General features: G+C 51.9%; 1 protein-coding gene across 7 annotated transcripts in view, besides 3 other annotated features; it reads left to right on the forward strand.

Moving 5' to 3' along the window:
• MLXIP (MLX interacting protein) overlaps positions 1 to 20,349 on the forward strand; it is a 68,589-nt gene that overhangs the window by 35,175 nt on the left and 13,065 nt on the right. For all 7 annotated transcript variants that reach the window (XM_006719290.5, XM_006719292.5, XM_006719291.5 and 4 more), the window contains exons 2-9: positions 13,326 to 13,432; positions 13,953 to 14,038; positions 15,207 to 15,296; positions 15,658 to 15,699; positions 16,011 to 16,182; positions 16,914 to 17,003; positions 18,362 to 18,453; positions 19,418 to 20,057. In XM_006719290.5, coding sequence (XP_006719353.1) covers positions 13,326 to 13,432; positions 13,953 to 14,038; positions 15,207 to 15,296; positions 15,658 to 15,699; positions 16,011 to 16,182; positions 16,914 to 17,003; positions 18,362 to 18,453; positions 19,418 to 20,057 — 1,319 coding nt within the window. The remainder of the gene's footprint in view (positions 1 to 13,325; positions 13,433 to 13,952; positions 14,039 to 15,206; positions 15,297 to 15,657; positions 15,700 to 16,010; positions 16,183 to 16,913; positions 17,004 to 18,361; positions 18,454 to 19,417; positions 20,058 to 20,349) is intronic.
• Positions 12,607 to 13,119: an enhancer, noted in NCBI's record as "H3K27ac-H3K4me1 hESC enhancer chr12:122611084-122611596 (GRCh37/hg19 assembly coordinates)". NCBI's record gives its function as "activates a minimal SCP1, AML or CMV promoter by ChIP-STARR-seq in naive H9 embryonic stem cells {active_cell/tissue: H9 hESC(naive)}" and the evidence as "EXISTENCE:reporter gene assay evidence [ECO:0000049][PMID:30033119]".
• Positions 13,120 to 13,630: an enhancer, noted in NCBI's record as "H3K27ac-H3K4me1 hESC enhancer chr12:122611597-122612107 (GRCh37/hg19 assembly coordinates)". NCBI's record gives its function as "activates a minimal SCP1, AML or CMV promoter by ChIP-STARR-seq in naive H9 embryonic stem cells {active_cell/tissue: H9 hESC(naive)}" and the evidence as "EXISTENCE:reporter gene assay evidence [ECO:0000049][PMID:30033119]".
• Positions 15,557 to 16,756: an enhancer, noted in NCBI's record as "MED14-independent group 3 enhancer chr12:122614034-122615233 (GRCh37/hg19 assembly coordinates)". NCBI's record gives its function as "activates an origin of replication core promoter dependent on BRD2, BRD4, P300/CBP and CDK7 cofactors, and independent of MED14, by STARR-seq in HCT116 cells {active_cell/tissue: HCT116}" and the evidence as "EXISTENCE:reporter gene assay evidence [ECO:0000049][PMID:35650434]".

Consider the following 20,349-nt stretch of genomic DNA (forward strand, 5'->3'; position numbering starts at 1 on the left):
CGCCTCGGCCTCCCAAAGTGCTGGGATTACAGGCGTGAGCCACTGCACCCGGCCTTTTTTTTTTTTTTTTTTGAGACAGCATTTCACTCTTGTTGCCCAGGCTAGAGTGTAATGGCACAATCTTGGCTCACCGCGCAACCTCTGCCTCCCAGGTTCAAGTGATTCTCCTGCCTCAGCCTCCTAAGTAGCTGGGATTACAGGCATGTGCTACCACACCCGGCTAATTTTTGTATTTTTAGTAGACAGGGTTTCATCATGTTGGCCAGACTGTTATCAAACTCCTGACCTCAGGTGATCCACCCACCTCAGCCTCCCAAAGTGCTGGGATTACAGGCGTGAGCCACTGCGCCTGGCTGACTGCCTTCATTTCTAATACCAAATGCAAGTTGGGGAGTTCCCAAAACCACCCTCAGTTTCAATAATTCACTAGAAAAACAGAACGCACTGAAAAGTATTATATTCATGGTTGCAGTATATTATAAGGAAAGGATTCAAATTAAAATCAGCCAAGACGCAAGTTTTTACTGGACTTGATCCATTCTACCCCTGTGGTTGACCTTTAGTTTCTAGCCCCGCCCAGATGTCTGGCTAAGACCTTTAGTTAGCCTTTCCTCTGGAGGTTGGAACTGATACCCTGTGCTCCAGGCCCCCATTGTAAGTCAGATTGGTAACTGTTCTGTGGCCAAAGCCCCCAGGCAAACAAAGACACTCCCATCAGGCAGAACTAATTTCTAATTCCAGGGGCCTAGAATTCACCTCCCAGCAGCCCAGGGCAAAGGCTTGACCTCTCTTTGGGAAGGTGACTTCTTTTTTTTTTTTTTTTTTGGTGGGGGGGGACAGGGTCTCACTCTGTTGCCCAGACTGGAGTGCGGTGGCACGATCTCGGCTCACCTCAACCCCCACCTCCCGGGTTCAAGCGATTCTCCTGCTTCAGCCTCCTGAGTAGCTGGGATTACAGGTATGCGCCACTACTGCCCGGTTAATTTTTTTATTTTTAGTAGAGATGGGGTTTCATCATGTTGGCCAGGCTGGTCTTGAACTCCTGACCTCAAATGATCCACCTGCCTCAGCCTCCCAAAGTGCTGGGATTACAATCGTGAGCCACCGCACCCAGCCAGGAAGACTACTTCTTTGCTACACAATATTATCACCAAAATGTAACAGGTTATTTCTAGGTGGCGGAATTGAAGGTGAGTTTGCTTTTGTTCTTTGCACTTTTCCTTTTTGTTTGAATTTTCTTTTATTATGGATAGATATATATTTTAATCAATAAAACTACAAAAGCTTAAAAGATAAAAGTGAAAACTAAATCTCTGAACGGGTGGGAGGGCAGGCAGGGAAGCAGTACAAGAAATTCTAAAGAAAAACCAGTAGTGGCTGGGCGCGGTGTCTCACGCCTATAATCCCAGCACTTTGGGAGGCCGAGGCAGGTGGATCACCTGAGGTCGGGAGTTCAAGACCACCCTGGCTAACATGGTGAAACCCCGTCTCTACTAAAAATACAAAAAATTAGCTGGGCATGGTAGCGGGCACCTGTCATCCCAACTACTCAGGAGGCTGAGGAGGAGAACTGCTTGAACCTGGGAGGCAGAGGTTGCAGTGAGTGAAGATCGCACCATTGCACTCCAGCCTGGGCAACAAGAGCGAAACTCCTTCTCAAAAAAAAAAAAAAAAAGACCAGTAGAGATGACTACACAAATATGTAACCTACATTCAAAAGACATGCCATAAAAACAAGTAAAAGACAATGAAAATCCTAGGGGAAACATTTGCAGAAACATCACAAAGCATTAGTACCACTAATATTATAATATTGCGAATATAAAATAGCAAGGGAAACAATGGCTGACACCTGGGCACAGCTGTAATCCCAGTACTTCGGGAGGCTGAGGTGGGCAGATCACCTGAGGTCAGGAGTTCAAGACCAGCCTGGCCAACATGGCAAAACCCTGTCTCTACAAAAACACAAAAATTAGCCAGGCATGATGGCAGTACCTGTAATCCCAGCTACTTGGGAGGCTGAGGCAGGAGAATCACTTGAACCCGGGAGGTGGAGGTTGCAGTGAGCCAAGATCATGCTGCTGCAATCCAGCCTGGGTGACAGAGCGAGACTCCATCTGAAAACACACACACACACACACACACACACACACACACAACATTGACATTTCAATGACTGTAAATGACGTGTAGTCTGTTTACCAGTAATGTCCCAAAGCCAATTTCCCGGCTTTGACATTGTGCTCCAGCGATACAAGAGCCACCACTGGGGAAAGCTGGGTGAAGGGTACGTGGAGCTCTTTGTTCCATTTGTGTGACTTCCTGAGAGTCTATAATTACTTCAGAATAAGTTTTTTTTTAATTTTATTATTATTATACTTTAAGTTTTAGGGTACATGTGCACAACGTGCAGGTTTGTTACATATGTATACATGTGCCATGTTGGTTTTTAGAAAAGGCAAAGGGCATGGGCAAACAGCTCAGAAAATATGGGGCACATGGCTAACGCGCAGGTTTTTAATTATGAAATTTCATTAACAAATGATGCAAATTGAAGTGAAATACCAAGTTTGCCTCTTGCAAATCTGGTTTCATCTCCAGTCCGGAGGAGCACCTTGGGGTCTGATTGGGGTTTACTCTTCTGGCGAGGAAACCTAGGACTCTGGCTTTAAATGGTGCCCTGCCCAGGGGTCCCTGCCCCTGCCCCTGCCTGAAAGTCCACTTATGGCTTGAATCTGACAGGAAACTTAAGAACATGCCCAAGAAGCTCCTAAAACTCAGGAGCATGCCTCACCATGCCCAGCATTGACCACGTGCTGGGCCCAGGCCCTCATATCTGCTATGGCTGACCCAGCTGTCCAGTGTGGTGGATGTGGTCACTGTTTTGCAGAAGGTGGGCTGGGCCGGGCCAGCCTGGGTGACGAGGCCAGAAATGGAACCACTCTGCTTTCTTTGTTGGTTAGAAGTGGTCTAGACATGGTGGTGTCTGTCCTCTAGTGGAAGGCCTGGACACAGCCCATCCCAGGCAGGGTGAAGTCACCATTGCAGGCAGGCACATCTTGCCTGGTATCCACTCCCTCAAGTTGCCCTATTTTTGGGTGGTCATGGAAATGATTACTCCCTGCTTTTCACACAGAAAAGACAAACATACACCCTCACAAACAAGCTGGCACGCATGTGGGCGGAGCACCTGCAGGCACTCGAACACTCGCACACTGGAGTGTGCACCAGCCTTCCCGCCACAGCCCTCGGATCCTACTTCTCCAACAGGATGTTCTTTGAATGTAAGAAAAAAGATGCCAAGAGATCCACGAGGAGGATGGAGCAGGACCTGAAACCCCCTGGGGTTCCTCCATAGGAGACTCTCTGCTCGGGCAGGTGGCCCGACATGCACACTGCCCCTCCTGTCAAGCCATTGGCAGTGGCCCCTCCCGCGTGCCAGCTCCTCAATGAACCTTTGTTCGTCTGTAGCCTGTTAGCTTTGGCTGCTGGCAGCCTGTGGGACCAGGCCCACATCCCAGGACTAGCCGATAGAGACTGCCCTTTTGAAGCAAGTGAATTGGACTCCTGGAAGAGTCATTCCTCCACTCCCTCATTGAAACCACCTAATAACCGTGATCCTCATATCTGGATCTGGTGCACAGAATTGACTGATATATCTGTTTTTGTGATGAATTGCCTTCCGCAATTAACTAGAAGCCCTAGAATGTCTTGGACCTTGCCTGGTCTTTTTTCCTTGTTTATTTTGAAAAAGTAATACAGTAGTCCCCCCTTATCTGAGGGGGTGTGTTCTAAGACCCCAGTGGATGCCTGAAAGCTCAGATAGTGCCGAACCCTGTATACAGTACATTTTTTTCACATGTTAGCTCTATACTTGTGATAAAGCTTAATTTATAAGTTAGGCACAGTAAGAGATTAACAACAATAATAACATAGAGCAATTATGACAATCTACTATTCACAATTGCATGGATAGAAAATCTGTTTTTACCATAGATCTTAGCAACCTCAGCCTTGTTAAGTTGAGAACTTGCACCTTTTCACTTAATGAAAGCACTTTAAGGCTTCTCTAGGTCATATCTGAATTGCCAGCATCACTACTCTTATGCTTTGTGGCCATTATTAAGTAAAATAAGGGCTACCTGAACATAAGCACTGTGATACCACAACCATGGATCTGATCACTGAGATGGCTGCTAAGTGACTTAGCAGGTGGGTGGCAACTACAGTGTGGATCTGCTGGACAAAGGGATGAGTCATGTCCCAGGCGGGACAGAGCGGTACGGCGTGAGATTTTGCTATTCCAAATGGTGCACGGTTTAGGATTTATAGATTGTTTATTTCTGCAACTTTCCATGTAATATTTTCAGACAGCGGTTGATCATGGGTAAAGCACAATACCGCAGAAAAGGGAGGAATGCCGTACATTCCAGTGTTATATTTCAACAATACAAAACGGTGTTCAGTGAACACTCCTTCTCACTGGACCCCTTGCTTCTCCAGCTCATCTCTGCAAAGGGAAATCGCTGTGGCACTCTTACCTTTTCTTATGTATCCATCTTGGCTGTCTTTTCTCCTCCCTCCTCTCCTACATGTCTGTGTGGATATCTCTGAATATAAACGGTAGCCATACCAGGCCGGGCGCAGTGGCTCACGCCTATAATCCCAGCACTTTGGGAGGCCAAGGTGGGTGGATTGCTTGAGGTCAGGAGTTCGAGACCAGCCTGGCTAACATGGTGAAACCCTGTCTCTACTAAAAATACAAAAATTAGCTGGGCGTGGTGGTACACGCCTGTTATCCCAGCTACTCAGGAGGCTTAGGCAGGGGAATTGCTTGAACCCGGGAGGCGGAGGTTGCAGTGAGCTGAGATTGCCACTGCACTCCAACCTGGTGACAGAGTGAGACTCCCATCTCAAAAAAAAAAAAATAGATAATAAAAATAAAAAACACATGGGCTGGGCACGGTGGCTCGTGCCTGTAATCCCAGCACTTTGGGAGGTCGAAGCGGGCAGATCACGAGGTCAGGAGATCAAGACCATCCTGGCTAACATGGTGAAACCCCGTCTCTACTAAAAATACAAAAAATTAGCTGGGCATGGTGGCGGCGGGCATCTGTAGTCCCAGCTACTTGGAGGCTAAGGAAGGACAGTGGCGTGAACCTGGGAGGTGGAGCTTGCAGTGAGCCGAGATCGCGCCACTACAATCCAGCCTGGGCGACAGAGTGAGACTCTGTCTCAAAAAAACAAACAAAACAAAACAAAACAAAACAAACAAACAAAAAAACAGAAAAAAGAAAAACAAATGGTAGCCATACCATATATCTTGTACCTTGGTTTTATTTTTGTTTTTTCACTTAACAGTGCATCTTGTAGGTCTTCCCTATGTGTTACCACATAGAAATGTGTTATTTTAAAAATTACCCCGTAGTGTTCCACTGTGTAGATATGCCAGTTTTTTTGTTTTGTTTTGTTTTGTTTTTGAGATGAGCCTCGCTGTGTCGCCCAGGCTGGAGTGCAATGGCGCAATCTCAGCTCACTGCAAGCTCCGCCTTCCAGGTTCATGCCATTCTCCTGCCGCAGCCTCCCAAATAGCTGGGACTACAGGCACCTGCCACCACACCCGGCTAATTTTTTGTATTTTTAGTAGAGATGGGGTTTCACCGTGTTAGCCAGGATGGTCTCGATCTCCTGACCTTGTGATCCACCCTCCTCGGCCTCCCAAAGTGCTGGGATTACAGGCGTGAGCCACCGCGCCTGGCGATATGCCAGTTTTGACTGGTTCCCTGTGATGAATATCTAGGTTATTTCCAACCTTTTGCTGCCGCAAACAGTGCTGCAGTTTAATGTCCTTCTCTTCACGTCTTTGTGCCCATGTGAGGTGGATCTGTCGAATCACTTCCTAGGAGTGGGCTTGTGGGTCACAGGGATGTGCAGTTACAGTGTTGATGGGCAGTTGTCAGCTTGCCCTTCAAAAAGGCTCACAATTGTTTTTGCCCATCATTCTATCCCCAGCACCAGCTTAGTGACGAGAACTCTTCCCCACCAGAGCTCTAAACTGATTGGGAAGTAAAACGGAGGAATCACTTTGTAGCAGCGCTATTCGCTGTAGCCCAAAGGTGGATACGACCTGTGTCCTACTGATGATGGATAAACAGAATGTGGTCCATCTATACATGGAATATGATTCTGCCTTGAAAGTAATGAAGTTCTGAGAATATTTTTTTCTTTCTTTCCCCCTCCCCCCTTCTTCTCTCTTTCTCTCTTCCCTTCCTTCCCCTTCTCTTTCTTTTCTCTTTTCTTTTCTTCTTTTGAGACAGGGTCTTGCCCTGTCACCCAGGCTGGAGTGCAGTGGTACAATAGTGGCTCACTGCAGCCTTGACCTCCTGGGCTCGAGCAATCCTCCCATCTCAGTCTTCTGAGTAGCTAGGACCACAGGCACATGCCACCAAGCCCAGCTGATTTTCTGATTTTTTGTGGAGATGGTGGTCTCTCACTACGTTACCCAGACCAGTCTCAAACTCCTGGGCTCAAGCAGTTCTCCTGCCTTGGCCCCTCAAAGTGCTGGGATTACAAGTGGGGAACTAGGTAATGGTGCTGGTTATAAAACATTGTGAATGTTCTTAATGGCACTGAATCATCTACTTTAAAATGGTTAAAATGGTAAATTTTATATTTATTTTACTACAAGAAAAAGAGTCAGCAGATGGTGGCCAAAATATTACCTTTATTGTTGACCAAGCTGAGGATATGGCTTGTAAGAGAACCCTGGACTGACCTTCCACCTCCACCCCCTCTTCAGGAGCAGGGGAAGGAGGGAACGACCCCAGCCCAGGTTCTTCTTCAGCACTCATTGTACCTGTCCTGCAGCACTCACTGTGAGATGCCCCACTCTACCTGTCTGTCAGGGAGTAGGGAGGAAGCCAGGGATGTTTTGCTAAGGGGTGTCCCTCTAAGAAGCACCAGGAATGGTGAAGAAACGTTGTCCCATGACAAACAAATATGGTTGAATGAACAAATGAATGGGCTCCACCACTGTTCTGAGACCTATAACGATAGCCCCAGAGCCCTCTGCATGCTTGGTTTTTTTTTTTTTTTTTTGAAACGGTGTCTCACTCTGTCGCCAGGCTGGAATGCAGTGGTGCCATCTTGGCTCACTGCAACCTCCGCCTCCCAGGTTCAAGCGATTCCCCTGCCTCAGCCTCCCAAGTAGGTGGGACTACAGATGCATGCCACCATGCCCAGCTAATTTTTGTATTTTTAGTAGAGATGGAGTTTCACCATGTTGGCCAGGATGGTCTTGATCTCTTGACCTCATGATCTGCCTGCCTCGGCCTCCCAAAGTGCTGGAATTCCAGGCGCGAGCCACTGTGCCCAGCCTTTTTTTTTTTTTTTTTTTTTAAATTGAGATGGAGTCTTGCTCTGCTGCCCAGGCTGGAGTGCAGCGGCGAGGTCTCAGCCTCCTGAGTAGCTGGGATTACAGGCACGTGCCACCATGCCTGACTAATTTTTGTATTTTTAGTAGAGACAGGATTTCACCATGTTGGCCAGGCTGGTCTCGTGACCCTCCTGACCCTCGTGATCTGCCCACCTCGGCCTCCCAAAGTGCTGAGATTACAGGTGTGAGCCACCGTGCCCGGCCTCTGCCTGCTTTCTTTTGGAGAGAATGGTCTGAGCAGGAGTCAGGAGTTCGTCCCAGCCAGACCGAACAGAATTAGGGACCCCTGACCTGGCCATGCCCGGCCTGCCCTCTCTGCCTGCCCCTGTTCTTACTTCCAGCTTGGTCTGTGCAAGGCTTGCAATTTAATTTCCTTCCATTCCAAAGCAGTCTCTTGCCAGCCCTCTGAGGAATTCATAGTTTGCTAGTTTCATCCAAGAAAAGTTTTGAGAGAGACCTTTGTTGTACTGTGAATTTCCTGTTTCATGTCAAGAACCTGCCTTCTAGGAAGGGCAGCTGTGGCAGGGTGGTGTAAAGATTGTTCTTCATGGAAAATTTAGCATTCATTTAATAACTGCATATTTAAAACACCTCCCACGTGCCAGGCCCTGTGCTGGCGACCCTAGGCGATGGCCTTCCCACAGAGGGTGAGGAGAGGGCTAGCGAATGGGTGAGTGCAGTTGACCTCTGTTCTGATGGGCAGATGGCAGGGGCGGGTTCAGGAGGTGGAGGCCAGAGGAGGATTGCGTGTCTTGGGGGAAGCCAGTGGTCTTGCAGAAATGGTCAGAACATGTTTCTGGTCTGCTTTAAAGAAGGAATGGAGCATAATCCAAGTTAGACTAAGAGACAGCCCAGTCACCTTTGTCTGGAAGATGTTGAGCTGGCAGCATGAGTTAGGGGAGCAGAAGTCCCCCCAGTCACAGACGCTTTCTGGCGGTGCTTCCCTGGGGGCTCTGCCAGGGAGGGCTGCCCTCCACTGCTGCAGGCTCCCTTGTGGGCTTTGTAAAAAAAATTTTTAGACAGGGTCTCTCTCTGTCACCCAGGCTGAGGTGCAGTGGCACCATGATAGCTCACTGCACCCTCCAACTCCTGGGCTCCAGGGATCCTCCCACCTCAGCCTTCCAAGTAGCCAGGACCACAGGCACAGGCTACCACTCCCTGCTACTTTTTTCTTTTTCTTTTTCTTTTTTTTTTGAGACAGAGTCTTGCTCTGTCGTCCGGGCTGGAGTGCAGTGATGCGATCTCGGCTCACTGTACTCTCCGCCTCCCAGGTTCACGCCATTCTCCGGCCTCAGCCTCCCAAGTAGCTGGGAGTACAGGCGCCCGCCACCACGACGCCTGGCTAATTTTTTTTGTATTTTTAGTAGAGACGGGGGTTTCACCATGTTAGCCAGGATGGTCTCGATCTCTTGACCTCGTGATACACCCGCCTCGGCCTCCCAAAGTGGTGGGATTACAGGCGTGAGCTACCGTGCCCGGCCTTCTTTTCTTTTTCTTTTTTTTTTTTTAAAGAGACGAGGTCTTGTTATATTGCCCAGGCTGGTCTGGAACTCGTGAGCTCAAGTGATCCTCCCGCCTCAGCCCTCCAAGTGCTGGGATTACAGGCGTGAGCCACTGCACCTGGCCCATTGTGGGACTTTTAGAGCAGCTTTTCCTGAGTACCCTGTGAAGAAGGGTCCCCGTGGAGGTCTGCGTAGGAAATGTCCCTGCTCCTCTCCTTGAAGATTGACGGGGCACAGCCTAACAGCTCTGCCAGGCCCATCAGGAGCCTGCCCAGGGTTTCTGGGCATGAGTCGTCCAGGGTGTCCCTTCCTTTGTGACACCTGACGCATTCATTGCCACCTTGCCACCTTCTGAGGCATCACAGAACTTCACGCGTTGCCTCCTCAGATCTTGACTTGAAATTGCCTTGGGGGCGGGCTGGGGGTGCAGGCCGTCGACCCTTTCCGGCCCGCCGTGGCTGGTTTGTTTGGATTTTGAGTTGGACGCCCTTCTTTGTGTTTCTTGAGCGCCACCTGTTGGTCATAGAGATATTACCGAAACTCGGGGTGGAACGGTGATCCCAGTTGGGAGTTCTGGTCTCTGTGTTGCTGCTGAAGTCTGACTGTGTTTGACGTAAACACCCAAAGAAAAGGGAAACATTTCAGCTCACGGAGAGGAAGAAGAGGGGACCCTCAAACTAAACTTTGAGGTTTCTAGCCTGTAAGGCTAAATTTCCCTGCGTCTTGCCGCTCCCCTCATTGTGTGTGATTAAAGCTGTTGGTATGACACCCTCTGCCCTCCAGCTTTGTCTGCTGTACCCCCTGCCTTCAGACTCCCTTTTTTGGTTGGTTATTTTTGTTTGTTTGTTTTCTGAGACGGTCTTGCTCTTTCACTTAGGCTGGAGTGCATTGGTGCCATCATGGCTCACTGCAACCTCAAACACCTGGGCTCAAGCGACCTTCCTGCCTCAGTCTCCCCAGTAGCTAGGACTACAGACGCATGCCACCATGCCCTGTTCACACATTGAGGGCTTTTCACTGCCTCGATCAGGCTGAGTTCTGCTCACTGGGGCCACCACAGGCCAGGCAGAAGGAACTGTGTGGGCTTTGTCGAGCTGGCTTTCCCTATCCACTAGGCCTTTGCTTAAACGCCACTTCCTCCAGAAAGCCTCCCCTCACTGCTCTGGTCAGGTTGGCTATCCACCTTGTGCCCACAGCCATCTGCCCTTCAGGACGCTGAGCACAGAGGCATGACGTGTGCTCCCACCCAAGGCGTGCTGCATGAGGGGAACCTCCCCGCCTCAGCTGTCCCCCACCCTCAGCCGTCCCCCGCCCCAGCCGTCCCCCGCCCTCAGCTGTCCCCCTCCTCAGCCGTCCCCCCACCCTCAGCCGTCCCCCACCTCAGCCGCCCCCCCGCCCTCAGCCGTCCCCCACCTCAGCCGTCCCCCTGCCCTCAGCCGTCCCCCTCCTCAGCCGTCCCCCCACCCTCAGCCGTCCCCCTCCTCAGCCGTCCCCCGTCCTCAGCCGTCCCCCACCTCAGCCGCCCCCCCGCCCTCAGCCGTCCCCCACCTCAGCCGTCCCCCTCCTCAGCCGTCCCCCGCCCTCAGTCCTCGGCTCTTCACAGTGCAGAGCAGATGAGGCTTCTGCAGCTACGCAATCCCACCCTCAGGGCTGGCCTGGCACTCGGAGCTGACCTCTGCCCAGGTCTCTGTTCCTGGTGTTGGCAGAGGGCACCGGCGTCACCTTTTCCACCTGTGGAGAAAGAGGAACCACATGGCAATATGGCAAACATAAGAGAAAGGACTTCAGGGCGGGGGTTGTTAAAAACATCATACCCTTCAATATATGTACCTACTATGTACTCATAAAAATCAAAACAATTTTTTTTTTAATTATGCCTTTTGCCAGGCACGGTGGTGCATGCCTGTAATCCTACCACTTTTGGAGGCCGAGGTGGGAGGATCACTTGAGGTCAGGGGTTCAAAACCAGCCTGACGAACGTGGTAAAACCCTGTCTCTACTAAAAATACAAAAATTAGGCCGGGCTTGGTGGCTCACGCCTGTAATCCCAGCACTTTGGGAGGCCGAGGCAGGCAGATCAGCTGAGGTCAGGAGTTCCAGACCAGCCTGACCAACATGATGAAATCCCATCTCTACTAAAAATAGAAAATTAGCTGGGTGTGGTGGCGCATGCCTGTAATCCCAGCTATACAGGAGGCTGAGGCAGGAGAATCACTTGAACCCGGGAGGCAGAGGTTGCCGTGAGCTGAGGTCGCGCCATTGCACTCCAGCCTGGGCAACAAGAGCGAAACTCCATCTCCAAAAACAAACAAAAATTTGGCTGATGTGGTGGTGGGCACCTGTAGTCCCAGCTACTCGGTTGGCTGAGGCGGCAGAATCGCTTGAAGCCAGGAGGCGGAAGTTGCAGTGAGCCAAGATCTCGCCACTGCACTCCAGCCTGGGCAACAGAGCGAGACTCCATCTCAAAAAAAAAAAAAATTATTCCTTTCAGTAATAACTTAACCCTAGATCATTGAGATTGTTATTAATATCTTTGTGTTTGCTTTAGGGTTTACCAGTTGTGTGTGTGTCTAAACATGTATGTGTGTGTGTATTTTACTGTACCCAAATGTGCTTTCATTTAGTCCTTATTAACACACTCTAGAGGAGGAGGCGTCATTCTGATTTTACCCAGGGCACTGCTGTGGTAGGCAGCAGGTACGCCATGACACAGCAGTGGCTGTCTGATTCCGTAGCTGCCTGCTGTACCACCGGTGAGGCCAGGCCATCAGCATGGAGGTGGGTTAGATGAGCCTTTGAACTTGGGAGAGAAGGAAGGAAGGAAGGTGTGTGACTACTCTGAGTCCCTGACCCGTTGTGCAGAGGCTGCTGCTGTCTGCGTGTCTCTTGTGTGCTGAGAGGATGCACTGTGACATTTTTCTGGGGGAGTCATAACCTTCTGGCCTGTATTGCCCAAAGCCTGGGCTCCTTGGGGGTTTGGGTGGGGATAGGCACAAGGGTCCTGCCAGGGGCACAGCCAGGGCATCTGCCTTCCAGGGCAGGTTCCAGGTTCACAGAATGTTTGCTGCTCAGGCGCCTCCTGTGAAGACTGCAGCTACTGTTGGCAAATCTCGGCTTGCCACGTGGCCTTTCTGAGTGGGACTGGAGAAGGGGCAGGGCTGTGGCCTGTGGTCAGATCAAACCTCCACAGCCGCACTGTGATATGGACCAGAAATAGTGCCTTGCCCATCTCAAGCCATCTGAAAAAGAGAAACCCTATGCGGGCTGCCCAGAGATGGCTCCCGGCCTAGCACTTGGAAAACTGAGCTGCCCAAGACAGCTGTGCCACCAGGGAGGCTGGGTTTACAAGTGCTCTGGACTTATTGAATGAAGAATTGTTAATTGAGCCCCTACTATGTGCCAAGCCACCAAACGTCCTCCCTAGAGGAGCTGCAGTGTCAACAGGGAAAGGTGCTTGTGTGCAGACACTACTACATAAGAGCTCCCGTGAGACCGTCCCCGAGTGGAGGAGAGCAGAGGGGCCCTGAAGGAATCAGCAGCAGCCTGGGAGAGGCCAGGCCAGCTCAGAGGAGATGGTGTCGGGGGCAGCATCTTGAAGGATTAGGAGGTGGCTGAGTGGAGGGCCATCAAGAGTGAGGACCATGTCAGAGGCTCTGGGAGGCAGAATAGGCCCTGCCCTGCAGGCACTCAGGCCAGTGGGATGCTCGGGTACTTGGATTGTGAATGCCTCGTGGGGGCTGGTGGCAAAGCAGGCAGGCCACGACCAGGTCACAGGAGCCTGGTTTGCACTCTGTGGTCAACAGATTTCTTCTAATTTTTAGTTATGGAAAATTTGTAGGATATGCCAAAGTAGACGGAAGAATGTAGTGAACCCCACATGCTGCCACCGCACACACCAGTTGCTGTGTGACCCATGACTGCCCTTGGTCTGCCCCTCTCTGGAAACAAGAATGACTTTGAATCCAGGAAGGGAGGCTGGTCAAATGTGAATAACAATGAACAGCCCAAATGTAACCTTTGCTCCTCCTGGAGGGCACTCACTGCATGCCCAGTGTTCAGTTTGTTAGTCTGGTTCATGGAATCCTCCCAGCAGCCCTCTGCAGAGGTGTTTGGGTTAAAGTCCCTTCAACAGATATTGGTGGGTGGCTCCAAGGCTGCAAAACCCCCACGGCCAGTCCTGCCCTCCGCGCCCTGACAGTATCCCCACCATGCCCTGCCCTGTGTGGCTCTGAAGAAATCCCCCAGTGACCTGAATTCCATGAAGCCGGGTGTATGGCTGGGGGTGGATCAGTCAAGAGTTTGGTCCTGGAATGATCGGGTGGCACTTTGTAATTTCACTTCAATTTCAGAGTAACCACTGAGTCTCCCCGCTTTGCCTTGCCTTTCAGTGGGAAGTTGGTGTCTCCAAAGTGGAAGAATTTCAAGGGCCTGAAGCTACAGTGGAGAGACAAGATCCGGCTCAATAATGCCATCTGGCGGGCCTGGTACATGCAGTGTAAGTGCCGCCCAGCCTGGGCGCCGGTGGTGGTCAGAACTTCACGGCCTGGAGGCCTGGGCACCCAGGGACCAGAGTCTGCTCCTGGGACCTGGTGTTTCTAACAGAAGTTCAGTCTGTGCAGACAGGAAACCCAAGCCATCAGGCCCAGCAGAGGGGTGGCATCTGAAGAGTCAGGGAGCAGGTCTAGGAAGACTCAGGCATGGGCCTTCTCTCTCCAGCCCGAGTGTCATGGATCCGGTAGCTTCTCCGGGAGATGAGTGTGCTAGGGCAGGCTTGTGTTGGGCTGGTCTTTCTCTGAGAAGCCACACTGCCTCTCTGACTGAGGCGTTCGTTATTGACAGATTCCTCTCCTTTCACCTGGACTCCTTTATTTCCCTGAAATCTCCTTTTCCTAGGGAAGGAGAAGGAAAGGGTACCTGGGAATGTGGTCTGCCCTAGGGGAGGGGTGCAGCAGACAGGCTGGGGCTCCCTCAGGGGTCTGGATCATGGTGCTGACTCTCACCCTCTCTCTGCTCAGATCTGGAGAAGCGCAAGAATCCTGTGTGCCACTTTGTGACACCCCTGGACGGCTCTGTGGACGTAGACGAGCACCGCCGGCCGGAGGTACTTGGCAGTGACCAAGGGTGGCTGAGAGTGGAAACATACCAGCACCTCACCGGGAGTGGCTCACCGCGGGCTGGTCCTGTAGGAGAGGCTGCCGAGGGTAGTGCAGCGCCTGCCCTGCGCCATCCATGCCCTGGGGGCCAGGCCTGGGAGCTGGTGGCCTCTGGCAACCCCAGGCTGCAGAGCCTCCCCCTTCTCAGAGGGACTGGCCCAGGGACTGAGGGGGTTAATATCTTTCTGTTAATTTTTAAAGTGTGTGTCTATGTGTGATTATACATGCACAGGAAGTGTCTAGAGGAATATATAGAAGTGTCTTTATTAAGAGACTTCAGGAACCTCTGGGGAGTAGGATTAGGGCTGCCAGATGAGGGGGAGATGCTTTCTTCACTGCATACTCTTCTGTGTGGCTTTAATTTTGTCTAGGCATGTCTCACTGTTAACGATAAAGGGGGAATTTAGAAGGTAAGCTAATGAAAGACAGTTTTGAGACAGGTATAATCTGGTATTAGACAGTATCAAGGGATATCATTTTGTTGGGTATGGCAATATTGTAATCAGTTCTTTTTAACAGAAAAGCATCTTTGCTGTCGAGGACACACACACAGTGTTTGTAGGTGAGGTGATTTGGGCCTTGAGATCAGAAAGTGAGGCAACCCCAGGCATTGGGGCTCCTTATCTCTGGAGCTCGAAGGCTGTCATGCAAGGCATCCACACTGGCATCACGCGAAGGTTGGATGAGAGGCCCCTGGAGGGCACATTCCACCTGAAACTTCCTGGAATTGGCTGTTCATTTTTGCCCTTTGAATGTGGCAGAGGCTGTGGGGAAGGGGCATTTATGGGGGGGCTTGGGAATTGCTGCAGCGTTCCCCTGCTTCTTCCTCTGTGGAGCATTCTGCTCTCACCCTGTCCTCCTGGACAGAGCCTCAGGACCGTGCCCCCAAGGCCTTTGGCTACCTTAGGTCTTGAAATGACAGCGCATTGTTAGCTAGAGGGTCTGCTATAGCATGGAAGAAGTGGGACGTACTTTCTGAGTGATGTGGTAGCCACTGTGGGGTTTCCCGCTGGATTGCCTAAGGCCTGATTATAGTGCCGGATACTCAGTACACCAGTTGAGCTTTGCTAATCAAGCAGAGCCCCCTCTTCACTCTGCTCTCTGTCCCTGTCCTAGGCCATCACCACGGAAGGGAAGTACTGGAAGAGCCGCATCGAGATTGTGATCCGGGAGTATCACAAGTGGAGAACCTACTTCAAGAAAAGGGTATCTGGCTGGAGTGTTCAGGCAGCCCGCCTAGGGAGGGAGTGGGCAGAGTCCCTGGTTCAGGGCCCTGGCCGAGGCGGTAGGCTCCACAGCCGCCCCACCTGAACGTGGAGCGTCAAGCAGTAAATCTGGGGCCCAGCGTGCCAGACTAGCCTGGGCAATGGCCTGCCTCGGTCAGGTTGTCTTTGCTCTCAGTTTCCCCATCTGTGCACTGGGTGGAAGTCTCCTTTGTGCAGGCATCGGCCTGGGGATGGTGTGAGCAGGACCCCTACCTGCCTCCCTGAGAGTTCTGTATATTCTAGAGCCCTTGGGCCCTCCTAGGGCCATTGGTGACCGCCGTGTCCTGTCCCTTTGCCCACAGCTACAGCAGCACAAGGATGAGGACCTCTCCAGCCTGGTCCAGGTGGGTGAGCCTGGGAGCTCTGAGGACCCCCACTTTGACATGAGACAGCAGGGACTTCGGTGGCCCACCAGGGAGCCCTGCAAAAGGCGGCAGGCCATGGGCCCTCCCTGGAGTCTCAGGAATGGCTCAAGAAGCAGTCCAGCTCTCTCTCCTGGGTGGGCTGGAGGGAGCCGCTCTCCAAATGCCTCCACCCTGCTGCCTCACTTCCACTGAGCACCCCTTTGACGAATTTCCCCAGGTGACAGGCGTGGGAATTCTTCGTCCCACTGTTACTCTTTGATGCTTCCTCCCCTGTGTTGGTGTTGTGTTAGGACGATGACATGCTGTATTGGCACAAGCACGGGGATGGATGGAAGACCCCCGTCCCCATGGAGGAGGATCCCCTGCTGGACACAGACATGCTCATGTCGGAATTCAGCGACACCCTCTTCTCCACACTTTCTTCACACCAGCCGGTGGCCTGGCCCAATCCCCGGGAAATAGGTAACCCAAACCAGGGCCTTGGGCTTTGAACAGCCAGCCGCTTCCTTCTCTGCCAGGCCCCCTCTGGGCCAGGGTTCCTTCAGGGCCATCTCTGAGCTGCTGCACGTCACGGTTGGGGGCAGGCAGTAAGGAAGGGAAGGATGGCTGGCCTCATTTGACATCCAGGCCGCACGTACCGAGTGGGTGGGGTCTGCAGAGTGGGCCCACTGGGCAGCTGCCATTCCCGTAGTGCCATGGTGGGAGGACAGCAGCAGGGTCTAGTCTGAGTCATTGGCACATTTCAGATACCGTTCTCTTCACGGGGTACGTGTGCCGTGCCTAAGCCGAGGCGGCCGGGCCGTGACTCATGCTAAAGAAAATCAGAAGCACTCCCGGGTGTGACCGCTCACCTTGGTGGCATTCAGTCTTCCAGTTAACCTCTCAGGGAAGAGCCCAAAGATTGAAAATTAGAACAGTGTTCGGGGAGGTCTCTGTTCTCTCTTGAGCTCTTTACAGCTTCCTGGGGTGTCCATTCCCTGATACTCAATTTTACCTTCCTGGCAAAAACTTACTTTCCTGCCTTTTGAGGGTGCGGAATGGCCACAAACCCTGAGAAGGTAGAAATCCCAGCCAGCTCCTTGGAAGACTCTGGGATGTGAGCAGGGCCAGGAAGTTCTGTTCCAGGCCTTTTTTACGTTCCTGCAACATTGTCTGAGAAGACAAAATGGTTCCTCTCTCTGTGATTCTTGCAGCACATCTGGGAAATGCAGACATGATCCAGCCGGGACTGATTCCTTTGCAGCCTAACCTGGACTTCATGGACACCTTTGAGCCTTTCCAGGGTGAGGACCAGAGGCAGAGAGAGCACGGTTGCCTCCATCTCCCCCAGCCCAGCACAGAGCAGATCGCTGCCTTCCTTTAAGAGGCGAGACTTGGTAGAATGGGCAAGGGGGCGAGCAAAGAATTTTTTTTTAAACTGAACTGTTTTTTGTAGTAACTGCAAGGTCTGGGAAGTTTTTCTGGGACATTGTTCAGCAAGGAAATTGGCTCTGGATTTAGCCGTGACTGTAAGCAGTTCTCCCTCGAAGCAGCAGAGGGCACTGATGACACAGCCAGCTCCCTACCAAGGCCCTGCAGTTAGATGGGTCCTTGAGCACCTGCCATTGTGACAGCAGCAGAAACGTCAGGCCTGGGAGTGTTTCAGAGCCCAGGATAGTTGCCAACATGTGTGGTTCCAACCAGAGCCCCCTTTCTACAGAAAAAAAGGTGTCTCAGGGTAATACCCTCTGTCCATGGCATCCCCCTGGGCCATGTGGGGTTTAGGGGTTTAGTCCTTGATTTGTTTGAGTCTTTTTTTTTTTTTTTTTTTTTTTTTAGAGACAGGGTCTTGCACTGTCACCCAGGCTAGAGTGCAGTGGTTCAATCATGGTTCACTGCAGCCCTGAACTCCTGGGCTCAAGCGATCCTCCCACCTCAGCCTCCTGAGTACCTGGGACTACAGGCACACACCACCACACCCAGTTCATTTCTTCATTTTTTTGTAAAGACGGGGGTCTGCTATGTTGCCCAGGTGATCCTCCTGCCTCTGCTTCCCAAAGTGCTGGGATTACAGGTGTAAGCCATCACACCCAGCCTGTTTTAGTCTTTGTTATTTTGAGACAGAGCCTTGCTCTGTAGCCCACGCTGGAGTGCAGTGGCAAGAACACGGCTCACTGCACCCTCAACCTCCCTCCTGGACTTAAGCGATCCTTCCGCTTCAGCCTCCTGTGTAGTTGGGACCACTGGTGGCACCAACCAGGCATGGTGGTTGTGGTTGGCACCTTTTTTTTTTTTTTTTTTTTTTTTTTTTTGAGACGGGAATCTCGCTCTGTCATCAGGCTGGAGTGCAGTGGTGCGATCTTAGCTCACTGCAACCCCTGCCTCCTGGGTTCAAGCCATTCTCCTGCCTCAGCCTCCTGAGTAGCTGGGACTACAGGCATGTGCCACTACACCCAGCTAATTTTTGTATTTTTAGTAGAGATGGAGTTTCACCATGTTAGCCAGGATGGTCTTGATCTCTTGACCTCATGATCTGCCTACCTCGGCCTCCCAAAGTGCTGGGATTACAGGCATGAGCCACCGTGCCTGGCCCTGTTTGAGTCTTGATTCCAGCAAATGCTGGGCACACTGAGCTCAGAAGACCCCTGCTGTTGTTTTTCAGACCTCTTCTCTTCTAGCCGCTCCATTTTTGGCTCCATGCTACCTGCATCTGCCTCAGCACCTGTACCAGATCCCAACAACCCACCTGCACAGGTAGAGGAAGCTGGGGGATGGGTGGGGGAAGGGGCTGGCAGGCACAGGGCTGCTCATCAAAGGTTTGCTGCCAGAGCAAGGCTAATGGCATAGCCACACAGTCACCAGCAAAGCGCCAAGCAGTGCTAGACCAGCACTAATGTGCAGAGGCACGATTCCATCCCTCTTTTACAGCATCCTTCAGCACCCATGGGGTGGGAGACTCTTGGTCCAGGTGTGCTTCTGCCTGAGTGCCAGGTAACCTATGTGCAGCTAGCTCTGCTCCGACTAATTAACACAGAATTAGCTAGACAGAGAAGAAAAACATGGATTACTAATAAAAATAACTTCTGTATATTTCTTTCACGTTTTACTAAGCAATCCAAAAAGTTGCTTACAGGTGCTTGGGGCTACAGAGCTGAGTGAGGTACCATTCTTTGTCCTTACGGAGCCCTCATGCTTATGCCCATGACCAGTTAGACACTGGTAACCTGGCACCATCTTCAAACGGGCTCCGGGAAGAATTGCTACTGCAGAGACTGGGATCTGAACCATTGATTCCTCGTAGCTTTTCTTATTTAGGAAGAGGTGGCCTGATGACCAGTTGACACGTGAAATTGTCCTCGGGGATTCCCGAGCAGCTGCAATCCAGGCTGCCTCTGCTCAGTAATAGAAGATGGCAGAGACTTTGGGGAGACTCTGCTGGACTCCAGAAACAAGATATTCCCAGGCTGCTAGCCAGCTGTGTGAGGGCCGTTGCCTTATCTGAGCTCTGAGTTATTTAGTTTTTAATGGAAACAAGACCCCCGCAGACACGCAGGGAAACACAAATCCCTATCAGATCAGCAGCCATGGACGTGGAGACGTGGCCTTTGTCCCTCTGTCCCAGCGCCCGGCCTGTGTAGTTGGACTTGGCAGTGTGCAGCGCTAGAAAGGAATTGTCTGACCCCAGCATTGCTTCCTGGCTCCTTTCTTCCTTTTTCAGGAGAGCATCCTGCCGACCACAGCCCTCCCCACTGTGAGCCTTCCTGACAGCCTCATCGCGCCCCCTACCGCCCCATCCCTGGCTCACATGGATGAGCAGGGCTGTGAACACACCTCCCGGACTGAGGACCCGTTTATCCAGCCCACGGACTTCGGTCCCTCAGAGCCGCCACTGAGTGTCCCGCAGCCCTTCCTCCCTGTCTTCACCATGCCCCTGCTGTCTCCCAGCCCCGCCCCACCGCCCATCTCCCCCGTGTTACCATTAGTTCCTCCTCCTGCCACTGCCCTGAACCCCCCGGCTCCACCCACCTTCCATCAGCCACAGAAGTTTGCTGGAGTCAACAAAGCGCCGTCTGTCATCACCCACACGGCCTCTGCCACCCTCACCCACGATGCCCCCGCCACCACCTTTAGCCAGAGTCAGGGCCTTGTGATCACCACCCATCACCCTGCCCCGTCAGCGGCCCCTTGTGGGCTGGCACTGTCTCCTGTCACCCGGCCTCCCCAGCCACGGTTAACTTTTGTGCACCCCAAACCTGTATCCTTGACTGGGGGCAGGCCTAAGCAGCCCCACAAAATAGTGCCTGCTCCCAAACCAGAGCCCGTGTCCTTGGTGTTGAAGAATGCCCGTATCGCCCCAGGTGAGCCAGGCGGGGAGACTCAGTGCGGGGCTCCCCCCGACCCAGAGGGATGTTTTCCCATCCCAAAGGCTTTCAAACTTGTGACCACCACCACCACCCTGGTGTGCACGTGCATGCGCACACACATACACTTAAATGAAACAAAAGTGTCATGAAATAATACATGGCCATGATCTAGTCCGTTTTCTATGCTCTATCTTTTTTGTTTTTTTGTTTGGTTTTTTTTTTTTTGAGACAGTCTCTGTTGCCCAGGCTGGAGTGCAGTGGCATAATCTCGGCTCACTGCAACCGC

Source organism: Homo sapiens, chromosome 12, assembly GCF_000001405.40.
Source record: "Homo sapiens chromosome 12, GRCh38.p14 Primary Assembly".
NCBI lineage: Eukaryota > Metazoa > Chordata > Mammalia > Primates > Hominidae > Homo > Homo sapiens.